Below are 13,539 nucleotides of genomic sequence, written 5' to 3' on the forward strand. Positions count from 1 at the left end.
CCACCTTGGCCTCCCAAAGTGCTGGGATTACAGGCATGAGCTACCATGCCCTGCCTATTCCACTTTTTTTTAAGGGGAAGCAGGGGAGGGTGGCTAGGAACTGGTGAGGGAGGGGAGAACTGAGGTGGGATTGCAGAGCAGTAGGCAGGACTTTCTACTAAACGTTAAAACTGAAGTAACTATCAGAAGAGTCAAACTTTTACATAAACTATTTTTAAAAGGTAAAAATTTCTTAAAAATCAAAGAAATCCTAGGTGAAATGGCTCTTTGATGGTCTAAAGAGTGCTTAAAATACGTTCTTACCTGGGCACTCTTGGATCATGCCATGTGCTCACACCAGTCTGTGTATGTAAGAAATACACCTGGCCTTGTTGCGTTGTCCTCTGTTCTGTAAAATTAATAAACACTGATAACAAAAACATTCAGAGTGTCCAGATCAAAGACAGTTATATACACTAAGATGATATACTAATAGGGAAAAATCTCCAAATTACCAATCTATTTTATTTATTATCAAAAAAGGGCTTTACAAATCATTTGTTCTGTCTCTTGGAAACAATTTTACAAATGATGAGGGCCACAGGCCAGCTATCCATAAACAAACTAAACTTATAACGTGGCTTAAATACTAAATATGTTGCAATGGAAAACAAATCAAGATTGTCACAATACTAATAACTAAAAAATTTTAAATGATGTATAAAAGGCTCTGAGAAAGAGGCTGGCCAACATTGGGAAGATTTGAGGAGGAACTTCCAGAAATTTTCAAAGAGTCTGGAGGTTGATAATGCTTATTATGCCTAATTTTATACCAAAACTTATGTTTTCTCTTTGCTAGACAAAGGTATATTCTCAAGATTACATTTGAGCTCAAAGAGAAGCAAAACAGATGAGATACTGGGGAGACATTCTATGTCATAAACAGATAGAGATGGAAAAATAGCCAAATTAGAAAGAAGAGGACTAAAGAGCAAGCACGCACACTGGGGAGAAAAAAGTCAAGGACAAAATGAACTCAAAATCCTTGGGAAGACAGAGGAAAGGCCAGGGTGAAGAGAACAATCTCTAAAAGGGTTTCTTTATGGTGGGTTTTGTTTTGTCTTTTTTTTTTAGAACAACAGAACCACTTTTCTTTAGACAAAATCCAGTGAGAAACTTCAATACATAAAAAACTATTACTAATATTTATTAGTATAAATCTAATTTGTTTATAAACGTATAATGTCAATAAATTTAAACTTTAAACTTTCACAGATTATAAACAAAATCATATTACTATAGAGGACAGCTGTAATAACTTCAGCCTTGGTATCCACTTTATTTTTATGTTTTGGTTGTACAGTTTTTAAAATTCAAATCACAGAAATATTGTAGAAGTATAACCACTCCCACTCTAAAGAGCTTGCCTTATAATCTCAAAGAGAAATGGCAGGAGAGTATTTCTTCTCAGGTCTGAACACTGATAATGACAGTTAAAATTTACTATGCCAGACACTGTGCCAGCATTTCACATGAAATTAGATATCACTGATTTCTTGCAACAAACCTAGATGGTTGGTGCTGTTATTTTCCTCTATAGAGGATAAAATTGAGGCTCAAAGAGGTTAAATAATGTGCTCGGTGTTACATGGCAAAGCCAGGATACGAACCTAGGTCCTAAGTCTGTCTGTCACTCAAGCCTATAATTTAATGATTGTGCTAAAAGTTAACCTTTGAGTCATAGCACAGTTAATGGACAAGTTTTTTCAAATTAAAGAGCTAAAATACATTTAAAACTAAAATAAGAATCATGCATTTGCAGAAGAGTTTTAAAATATATTCTTGAGTAAAATAAAACTTAGATGTGGCAATTCCCAGTGTTGGTCATTAGATGTCAACATCAATCCAAAGTGGTTTATCTATAGTCTGTTAAGAGGGCAAAGATGTAAGTAACCTTGGTGAGCTTTTGGCAAGAAGAGGAAGTCAAGTTCAGACTATATACAAGGATTCACAAGATGGTATTAAATTAGAAACTTCCGTATTCTATTAGGAGAAGACTCATGTTATCTTCCACATGAAACTTTATAATCTAGGATTTTATATAAGATTGTAATCATTTTATACAAACATAGAAGTGACTCAGTCATTTACAACAATCCAATCAGATAATCCAAAATTACAGACAATACAAATATATGATCAGAAATATGCCTTTAAAATTATTTCTAAATATATATGTCTAAAAAATTATGTCATAGGTTGAACTTCAGATTACCGTTATCAGTAACAATACCATCTTACCTTTCTATACAGTGCCTATTTACAAAACAGTCTCACTTCATTTCGTATGCTTCTCACACTACCTTTGTTATAAACTAGTCATCTCACTTCATTATAGAAGAGCACAAACGCTGAGGCTGAATGATGAGCACAAGGTCAAACTGTTGGTTAGGTAGTCATCTACCACTTCAAAGACTTTTCAAAGTTGGGAGGTTTTATATTTATTTTCATGCAGAATCCCTAAGCTCAGATTAATAACTTTTTCAAAATATATTTTCTGACTTCCTCAGCAAACTGAAATCAGTAAACCACATTTTATTTTTCCTTTGTAGTTGTCATACCATAGCCTTCTGGTAGGTCTGGAGGAGTATGTAAATGTGTTCTGCTCATGTAATTTCTATGTCGTTGTGACCTGACTCTCCTCTCTGCCAGCCTGGGATCTGAAGACTGTCCACATGTTGCACCATTTGTTCCACTAATTGGAGTGTTCTCATCAACAAAGCAGCTAAGAGGTCTGCCAGGGCTAGAATATTCGGATGCCGGTCTATTGAAAATTAACAAGGAAAAGATGTTATCAATTTAGATATCAAAAGTAGAGTTCTCTAGACAATATATATATACTGCAGTAACAACCACTTATCATGTCTGAAAACAGAATGACTAATACAAGTATAATGACTTCAAGAACTCTGAGTAAAAGCAAACCTGAAGTCTCTAAGCACCAAAGAAATGCAAATGATAAGCATGTCATCAACTATGTATTTAAATGACTTTAATGACATTTGATATAAAATCCATACGTATCTGTGGATGTGAGACTGGCTTACAAAACACTGCTTGATCTAGCTATAGCCTCTCCCTCAGACCTGACTTCCCACCATTCTCCCTCCCACTCTGCTTCAGCCACACTCATATTCTTCCTGTTCCTTGAACTTGCCAAGGTCATTCCACCTGAGAGCAGTTGCTCTTCCTTCCATCTGGCATATTCTTTTCTCCTACTCTCCCTAGGCCTGGCTCTTTTTTGTCATTCAAATCAGTTTATTATTGCCTCCTAAGAGGTCCCTCAGACCTCCCAATCTAAAAAAGTCACCCAGTCATTTGACAATACATCACAAAAGGAAAGAAGACAGTTTGTCTCTTTAAGGGGCTTCCAGTCTACTATTGCAGATCTTTCAAAATAAAAAAATAATCAAGAGTTCATTCTTAAATTAACATGGCAGGGTATGGTGGCTCACACCTGTAATCCCAGCACTTTGGGAGACCGAAGCGAGCGGATCACTTGAGGTCAGGAGTTTGAGACCAGCCTGGCCAACACAGCGAAACCCCATCTCTACTAAAAATACAAAAATTAGCCGGGTGTGGGGGCGGGCGCCTGTAGTCCCAGCTACTCGGGAGGCTGAGGTACGAGAATTGCTTGAATCCAGGAGGCAGAGGTTGCAGTGGGCAGAGGTTGCAGTGAGCCGAGATCGTACCACTGCACTCTAGCCTAGGCAATAGAGCGGGACTCCATCTCCAAAAAAAAAAAAAAATTAACATTTAAAACAACAATCATCCTTTTATACATGTAGAAATTCAAGCTAATTTTACTGGTTAAATGAGTCAGAAGGAAATTGGTGTTCAAGTGAAACCTTGAACACTGACACAAGTACATATTCATTTGTGCTCAGATATAATAAAAATGGGTACTTCAATAAATTCCTTGGCAGTTTAATACTAGAAATGCAACTTGGCAACATGAGCTAAGCTTTTACCTGAGAATTATAATGTAAAAGAGAAAACCTTGTGATCCAATGAGTTAAGCAATTAGTTCTGTATAAATAAAAGTAGGTGCAGCTAATGAAAAGAATTTGGTATTTTATGCCTAGTGCCAGTCCTGCTCAAGAAGGGGAAAACAGGCAAAACAAAACACTGCACAAGATGGCAAATTTTGTTCTCACTTAAAAGGGTGAGGAGAAGGGGATTCAGCCACATAGACTATTTGTTTTCAGTTACTTCAAAAGCACCTCTTTGCAGTTCCCAAAATTTATCTTGCATCCCAATGTCTTTATACAGTAAGCTCCATGAAGTGACCATACCTGACATTCTTCAAGATTTAGTTCAGAGATTCCTCTGCTTATCAATTTAATTCATTCGATTTTTATTTTATTTTATTTTATTTGTTTTATTTTTGAGACTGAGTCTCGCTCTATCGCCCAGGCCGGAGTGCAGTGGCGCAATCTCGGCTCACTGCAACCTCCACCTCCTGGGTTCAAGCCATTCTCCTGCCTCAGCCTCCTGAGTAGCTGGGATTACAGGCACCCACCACCACGTCCAGCTAATTTTTGTATTTTTAGTAGAGATGGGGTTTCTCCATGTTGGTCAGGCTGGTCTTGAACTCCTGACCTCAAGTGATCCGCCCACCTTGGCCTTCCAAAGTGTTGGGCTTACAGTGGTGAGCCACCATGCTTGGCCAATATTTTTTTTTTTTTGGGGACAGAGTCTCATTCTATCACCCAGGTTAGAGTGCACGGGCACGATCTTGGCTCACTGCAACCTCCACCACCTATGTTCAAGCAATCCTCCCACCTCCACGTCCCAAGTAGCTGGGACCACAAGCATAAGTCACATGCCCAGCTAATTTTTTTGGTAGAGACAGGGTTTCATCATGTTGCCCAGGCTGGTCTCAAACTCCTGAACTCAAGTGATCCACATGCCTTGGCCTCCCAAAGTGCAGGGATTACAGGCAGCCTCGAAAAGTGCAGGGATTACAGGCATGAGCCACCACGCCCTGCCTCATTCAATAAATATTTATTGAGTACCACTGCAGGCCCTGGAGCTACAATGACAGCATGACCTGTCAAACAAACTGTTGAAGATCACTTTTAAAAAATAACAATGGCACCTGTTATAAGATCTACTGATCTACGACAGCAAAAACCAAGAAAAAAAATCTAGTAAAGCTGACAGATAAATAGAAAAGGACTTCAGGAGGGTGGCTGGCATAGATCATGAGAAAATATTTGTATGTTCTTACCGTGTTGGGCGCTCCCATTGCGTAGTTCTTGTTATATGGTTTAGATACTGGATTCTTCCAGAGGCGGTTCTCCTTTCTTCCCAGCTTAAATAAAAATATTGAGTGATAAGGCATTAATAGGAAACTTGGACACAGTGCAACAAGCAAGCCAGTAAGACATCTGCTGTTACAAATCGGGAATGCCAACCCGAAGTATCAATTCACAGAATATATAATTTTTTCAACTTATTTTAGAACTCTGTAATATATTTTATGGGATTCTGAAGCTTCTAAAGTATTTATGCTGAGGTGTAACAAATATTTTCCATCAGCCAAACTCTGAGAATTTTTAATAATGTCAACAATACACAATTAAATTCATACTAATTACTCCAGAATATGGAAAATGGCTATACTAAGAATATATTTAACCATAAAATCACGAGGTCTCTTGACTTCGTGATCCACCCGCCTCGGCCTCCCAAAGTGCTGGGATTACAGGTGTGAGCCACCGCATCCGGCCAAAAGCTTTTCAAAGCATTTAGCCTACCCAAACTAATTTTTTAAAAATGAAGACTATTGGCTGGCACGGTGTCTCACGTCTGTAATTCCAGCATTTTGGGAGGCTAGCATTTTGGGAGGCCAAGGTAGGCAGATCACCTGAGGTTAGGAGTTCAAGACCAGGCTGGCCAACATGGTGAAACCCTGTCTCTATTAAAAATACAAAAATTAGCCGGGCGTGGTAGCATGCGCCTGTAATCCCAGCTACTCGGGAGGTTGAGGCAGGAGAATTGCTTGAACCGGGGAGGCGGAGGTTGCAGTGAACCAAGATCATGCCACTGCACTCCAGCCAGGGTGACAAGAGCGAAACTCCTTCTCAAAAAAAAAAAAAAAATCGAAACAGCTACTTTCTTTTTTTTTCTTTTTTTTTTTTTTTTGAGACAGAGTCTTGCTCCTTCGCCAGGCTGGAGTGCAGTGGCGCGATCTCAGCTCACTGCAACCTACGCCTCCCGGGTTCAAGCGATTCTTCTGCCTCAGCCTCCTGAGTAGCTGGGACTACAGGTGCACACCACCACGCCTGGCTACTTTTTGTATTTTTAGAAGAGACGTGGTTTCACCATGTTGGCCAGGATGCTCTTGATCTCTTGACCATGTAGTCCTCCCGCCTCAGCCTCCCAAAGTGCTGGGATTACAGGCGTAAGCCACCATGCCTGGCCAAGACTGCTACTTTCTATCAACTCTTTACCATAATTAATTTAATGAAAAAGAGCCAAATGACTACAGAAATGTGATAATGTTAATATTTCTACAAAGATACTGGCAGAGGTTGAAGGGCTCTAAAAGACAGAAAATAAAGAGATGCTAGGGTATTTTCCCTCCTGTGATTACAATTATAGTACAATAATGTAGGGCAAGTTTAGAACAATAAGCCTTATTACTGCTGGCACTCTCTCAATATTGATTAGTTATTTCATCCTAAATTTCCTTTTCAAAAATACCATAATCTACCTCATATCTATAAAAGAGCTAACAGACATATCTAGAAGCTAAAGTGACCTACGAACAGTTAATTATAGTGATTTTTAACAGTTTAAAAAATGAGTAAATACCATAACCTGGGTATAAAATTTTGTATAAAAAATAATTGGAGTTAAAATTTAACCATTTATATACTTCAATGGATGCAATTTATTACATGTAAGTTATATCTCATCGAAGTTAGTTAAAAATACTTTGAATGTTAAAAATAAAATCAGAAAAGAGTTAGAACTAGTATCAAAGAGACCAGTCATAAAAATCATGACTTTAGAATCAAGACAGGTTTGTGTGTTTTGGCTCTGCCATTTATTATGTGGCCTTAGGCAAATAACTTCTCTCTTAGTTTTTGAGGGTAACAATAATAGTAGCAATAGAAATAATAGTAGCTAATTATTTACTAAGCGCTTATTTTATGCAAGACACTGTGCTAAAGTGCCTTACCTGAATTATTTCATTTGATCCTCTCAACAGTTTATGAGTATGCTATTATCACTCATACTCTTTTGTAAATAAATATAAACCAAAGCATATGGAAGTTAAATAAATTAAGGTCATAAAGCCAATACACAGAATAGTAAGGATTAGAACTCAGGTGGTCTGATTTCAGAAGCATGGCTATATACTGCCTTCCAAGATGCTATGAGAATTAAATGATATGTACATAAAGTGCTTATAACAGTATCTGCCATATACATGCTCAATGAAATCTTACTATGTTATTTTAATTACTATTACACAAATTATCCATCCCATCCCTCTTAAATATAGCAATGTTTCTAATTTAGCACTTGCATGGCCTGTTTTGAATAATTTAATCAAGCAACATTTTTTTAACTAGATAATATTTACAAGAGAGTTATATTTGTCAAGAAATTTCATTTGTCTCCTAGTCAAAACTCTTAATAACCAAATTTAACACATCTAATTTGTGGCTTATTTTATAAATTTGTCGAGACAAGATCTTCCATTAATTTTACAATTAGAAGGAAAATCTACATTCAATATACGATAAACACCATTTAATATACAATAAACACCCACTTATTTCTATTCTTTTAAGGATATTATCTATATATTTCTCTAATGATTTCAGTGATGTTAGCTTACCCGTCTGGTAAATCGTTATCAAATAAACGACTGCAGTCCACAACTTGTCCTCCTGTGCCTATTCGGTCTCTGGACTGAAGACTTACTATTAAATGACAGAAATATTACTAAGATTCATACAACTAGAAAGAACTATTATAATCTAAAATTTCTATCTTCAGAAGACATCTGACTTAGCTTATTTTAATACTTTAGAATGAACTCTTTGGTTTCTACTAAAATTTATAATTTCTTTTCCCATAGATTTTTCCCTTTAGGAGTAATATTAGAATTCTAAGGTTTTCTACACTTTATTACGTTCATGGAAGAAGCCTAATTCCTTTTTCACCATAGTAATGGTGCATAGCAGAGTCACTACTGTACTTAATTAAGAAGAGGCATAGCTGGGCGCGGTGGCTCATGCCTGTAATCCCAGCACTTTGGGAGGCCGAGGCGGGCAGATCACAAGGTCAGGAGATCGAGACCATCCTGGCTAACACAGGGTGAAATCCCGTCTCTACTAAAAATACAAAAAAATTAGCCAGGCGTGGTGGTGGGCACCTGTAGTCCCAGCTTCTCGGGAGGCTGAGGCAGGAGAATCGCTTGAACCTGGGAGGCGGAGCTTGCAGTGAGCTGAGATCGCGCCACTGCACTCCAGCCTGGGCGATACAGCGAGACTCCGTCTCAAAAAAAAAAAAAAAAAAAAAAAAAGGAAGAGGCATAACATATTAAGGGTGTATTCATGTACAAAGAAGTTTGAAAAGTCCATATTAATTTGACTTTAATACTTGATCATCTGACCATCTAAAAAATACACTGGGCTGGGCGCAGTGGCTTCTGCCTGTAATCCCAGCACTTTGGGAGGCCGAGGCAGGCAGATCATGAGGTCAGGAGATCGAGACTAGCCTGGCAAACATGGTGAAACCCCGTCTCTACAAAATACAAAAAATTAGCCGGGTGAGGAACTATGGGCGTGGTGCGTGCACCTGCAGTCCCAGCTACTGGGGAGGCTGAGGCAGGGGAATCACTTGAACCTGGGAGGCAGAGGTTGCAGTGAGCCGTGATTGCACCACTGCACTCTAGCCTGGCAACAGAGTGAGACTCCGTCTCAAAAAAATAAATAAATAATAAATAAATAAAAATACACTGTATTCTAGCAAGAGGGCCATCCTGGTATTCCAGCAAAAGAGCAATTCTTGGATTGATGGAGTTTTAACAGGACACCATTATCCAGTGTAGTATAAAACCACCACAAAGAACGAAGAAGGAAGAGATGTGAATTCTAGAGCAGGCTCTAGTAACTAGTTTAGCACTGTAACCTTGAACAAAACACTTAATATACTTAAGGTGTAGATAATCCCTGTCTGAATAATGAAAAAGTTACGTTAAATTATATCTCTGAAGTCCTTCTTTGCCACTCCAGTATTGTTTAATTCTAGTTCTGGTAACTCTCCCAAAAGACAGAAGGAGGTGTAGTCAAACTTGGCTATAAATCCAACTTCTTAAATAATAGGTCAGCACAACAAGTATTACATCTAAGGACCCTTCATTCAAAGAAGGGTCTCAAAATTCTGAAATCTTCCAGCTCTGTAAACATTTTGAAAGATCAGTTCAACACAGAGCTCCTTGATATTAAGTCCCATTTAGAGGAGAGAACACTATGAACACCTACTTGGCAAATGTAAACAAAACATTATATGAAAACTGTACTAGACAACTGTATCAATCAGTTTTTAAATAGATAAAACAAGTGAAATGCGTACCAAAATACAATCATAGTAGAAACAATGTATTTTCTCATTAGCATTGTTTAGAATAATAGTAAGATTCAAAGCTAAAGAATTTCATGGGCTTCAATTTACATCTCCAGAATGCTATGTTAATAGCACAGCTATTAACTGGTTAAATGAATTACATACCCACCATGGGCTATCACACATTAAAAATGCTACAGATTTTGCAAGCCTTAATGCAAAGTAGGAAAAAAAAAAACAAGTAACAATGCTATAGAAATGTGTTTATGGTCCAAAAAAAAAAAAAAAAAAGATGTTTATGATAAATTTAAACCAGTTTTTAAAAATTCAGTATAATCTCCTCTAAAAAAAATCACAAAAAAGGTATACATTCAAGTAATAACAATAACGATACATTAGACTTCCCACGCTCAAACAATCCTCCCACCTCAGCCTCCCAATGTAGCTGGGGCATAACAGTTTTAAACAAGGAAAAAAGTTTGTACTCCTTGAATCAATTATCTAAATTTGGGAGATTCTTTTCTAAAAAAGAATACAGCAAAGTGTACAAAAATATTTGCAAGTTTCAATGTTATAATAGCAAAAAAATTTTTTAATTATTAAGTTATGATATATCTATATACTTCATCCTTTAAAAATAATTAATTACAAAGATTATAAATACTAAAAATGATTATGGTTAAGTGAAAGAAAGCAAAGTAAAAAGTTAATGTTCACTGGAATTAAAGACATATACATTTTATATACATATTTATGTATATAAAAATACTAGAGGGGAATACAGTTTTTTTTGTTTGTTTTTTGTTTTTTTGTTTTTTTGAGATGGAGTCTCACTCTGTTGCCCAGGCTGGAGTGCAGTGGTGAGATCTTGGCTCACCACAGCCTCCACCTCCTAGGTTAAAGCGATTCTCCTGCCTTAGCCTCCTGAGTAGCTGGGACTACAGGCACACACCACCATGCCACACCAGCTAATTTTTGTATTTTTTAGTAAAGACAGGGTTTCACCATGCTGGCCAGGCTGGTTTCGAACTCCTGACCTCGTGATCCACCCACCTTGGCCTCCCAAAGTGCTGGGATTACAGACGTGAGCCACTGTGCCCGGCCCGGGAATACAGTTTTTAAAGTTAGTCTTCTAGTGTCCTTTTCTCCATTTTCCAAAAAGTATATATACCTACTTACAATTATTTGTTAGAGGGCTCATTCTGAACGAACTGGAACTCATTCTGTTTTTGAATGACAAAACTAAAGAATCATAATGTTTGAGTCCAGCCTGCCTCTCTCTTTATTAATGGTCCTATTATGAACACCAGATTCACATAAGAGCTTTAAATAAATACATATATACAGGCATACACATATTTAAGAGTAAAACATTTGTTTTCTATGTGGTGTACTCCAGTAGGTATACTTCTAATGTCTAACAAAGTTTGCTATTTATATAAATGCAAATTCATACCTAGTAAAACTATTGTTACTACTAGACAGTAGTTGGCAAGCATTATGTAACATAACAAATCAAATACAGAAGGAACACTTACATGTGAAAGTGTTGTATGACTGAATTTATTTTTGAGTTTTTTTTTTTTTTTGCTCCCTTCTCAATCTAAGAATGACAGGAATTATCAGTAATGATGTAGTGTAGATCAGGAATCCCCAACCCCCAGGCCATGGATGGGTGGGGTATTGGTCCAGGGTCTGTTAGGAACCCGGCCGCACAACAGGAGTGAGTGGCAGGTGAGTGAGCATTACCACCCGAGCTCTGCCTCCTATCAGATCAGTGGCGACATTAGATTCTCATAGGAGCACGAACCCTATTGTGAACCGCACACACAAGGCCAGCTCCTTATGAGACTCTCATGCCTGATGATCTGTCACTGTCTCCCATCACCCACAGATGGGACCATCTAGTTGCAGGAAAACAAGCTCAGGGTTCCCACTGATTCTACATGATGGTGAGTTGTAGAATTAGTTCATTATGTATTACAATGTAATAATAATAAAGTGCACAATAAATGTAATGCACTTGAATCATCCTGAAACCACCTCCACCCCCAGCCTGGTCTATGGAAAAACTGTATTCCATGAAACCGGTTCCTGGTACCAAAAATGGTGGGGTGCGCTGGTATAGATACTTCCCTGGGATAACCACAATAGGGCTTTGCTATGTGGCTACTCTGATGGTTCTCTAACTATGAACCCAATTCACTGCCTTGTAAAATAAAGTACCTTCAGTAACTAAAACCTCTCTGATGGGTTCATAACAAAATAATCTCACTAAGTTCTGTTCTATCATGAAGTGTGACATTCCTATTGAATTTTTCTTTTCTTTTTTTTTTTTTTTGAGACAGGGTCTTGCTCTTGTCACCCAGCTGGAGTGCAATGGTGTGATCATGGCTCACTGCAACCTTCGCCTCCTGGGTTCAAGCGATTCTCCTGCCTCAGCCTCCCGAGTAGCTGGGATTACAGGCACCTGCCACCATGCCCAGCTCATTTTTTGTATTTTTAGTAGAGATGGGGTTTCACCATGTTGGCCAGGCTGGTCTCGAACTCCTGACTTCAGGTGATCCACCCGCCTCAGCCTCCCAAAGTGCTGGGATTACAGGTGTTAGCCACTGTGCCTGGCCACATTTTTCTTCTTTAATTTAAGAAGCCTCTAAGATGAACAGTGTCCTTCCATACTAGGCATCTTGATCAAATCTCTATCAATTCTTAAGAAAGGTCTCAGCAAATTTTATATCAAGCCCTTCCCTCCAGGTCAATTCAAGACACCCTAAATACCATATAAGGCTACTAAGTGCCTCATGAGTAAGGTAACAATTTCTCCCTTTTTCCAGTGTTACACTACCATTGCTCATTCTGTTTTTTCTCAATTAGCATAGATTTTAAAGCTGTAAAGCATTAAACATTAAAACAAGTTCAATAGAATGTTCTCTTCTTACTAAAAAAACTAGTTTGAGAATTATTTTCAGTAAACTTTAATAACATTTATAAAGTCTGAACTTAGTGCTCTACTATATTAGGATACTTTGAAAGAATTATATCCTGAAGGATCAACAGTTCTTCACAAAACTTTTTTTTTTTTTTACATTAAAGTTTTTTAAATTAAGTTAACCTGGATCCTGGATTCACTGTAACATTTTACCTGGCTCATTTAATTCAGGCCAACACAATGAAGCTACAGTTATTATACTTTGATTTAAAAGGTATTTTACACTTTAGGTCAGTTTGAAACCAAAATTCATGTAACTTTAAATTCCACACTTACCTACTATCTGTCCTCTAACTGTATCATTGTCATTTGGCCCGAGTTTGCATAAATCCAACCTCTGATCTATTTGAAGTCAACAAAGAAAGCAACGAAAAAATTAGCTGGTATCAGAGATTCTAACATCTATAGAGTGACAATAAATTTCCACAATCCATTAGAAATCAAACCTATCATTTAAAGAGTTCAGATTTCAAAAACCAAACACTGGTGTATTACATTGCCAACATGCAGTCACTTTCTCTCCAAAACTTTTAGACCACTTTAGTCTGAGTCTTAATAATTGTTGGTCTTAAGGAATTTATCCCTAAGCCTTGGTTTTCTCACATATGACAATATGTGAATCCTCATATTTTTTTGAGGATTAAATCAGATAATTATGCCAAACTCTCAGCATAGTGCCTGGCACATAAGTGGTCAACAAATGTTAGTTGTCATTATCATTTTTTAACTAACCATTTCAAATGACATGGACCCAAAAAAGTATTCATAAGAAGCCAAGAATAAACTGTAAAATCTGGGTTTGCATCAGTTCTGTCACTCATTCATTTAGGAGCAAATCATTTCTTCTCTCAGATGCCTCATCTGTAAAAGAGATATAACACTGACCTGGCCCTGAAAGTTACAGTAAGGAACAATGTCAC

The 13,539-nt window shown here is 37.5% G+C and overlaps 1 protein-coding gene across 4 annotated transcripts in view; it reads right to left on the reverse strand.

Annotated features, from left to right (window-relative positions):
- Nucleotides 1-13,539, reverse strand: part of SMURF2 (SMAD specific E3 ubiquitin protein ligase 2) — a 120,026-nt gene that overhangs the window by 35,907 nt on the left and 70,580 nt on the right. For all 4 annotated transcript variants that reach the window (XR_007065425.1, XM_005257585.4, NM_022739.4 and 1 more), the window contains 5 exons: nucleotides 12,896-12,961; nucleotides 7,898-7,982; nucleotides 5,273-5,356; nucleotides 2,601-2,803; nucleotides 304-388 (listed from right to left, as the gene is read on the reverse strand). Coding sequence is in view for 3 of the 4 variants with exons in the window: in XM_005257585.4 (XP_005257642.1) it covers nucleotides 304-388; nucleotides 2,601-2,803; nucleotides 5,273-5,356; nucleotides 7,898-7,982; nucleotides 12,896-12,961 (523 nt within the window). In the remaining variant the exon portion in view is untranslated. The remainder of the gene's footprint in view (nucleotides 1-303; nucleotides 389-2,600; nucleotides 2,804-5,272; nucleotides 5,357-7,897; nucleotides 7,983-12,895; nucleotides 12,962-13,539) is intronic.

Source organism: Homo sapiens, chromosome 17, assembly GCF_000001405.40.
Source record: "Homo sapiens chromosome 17, GRCh38.p14 Primary Assembly".
Classification (NCBI taxonomy): domain Eukaryota; kingdom Metazoa; phylum Chordata; class Mammalia; order Primates; family Hominidae; genus Homo; species Homo sapiens.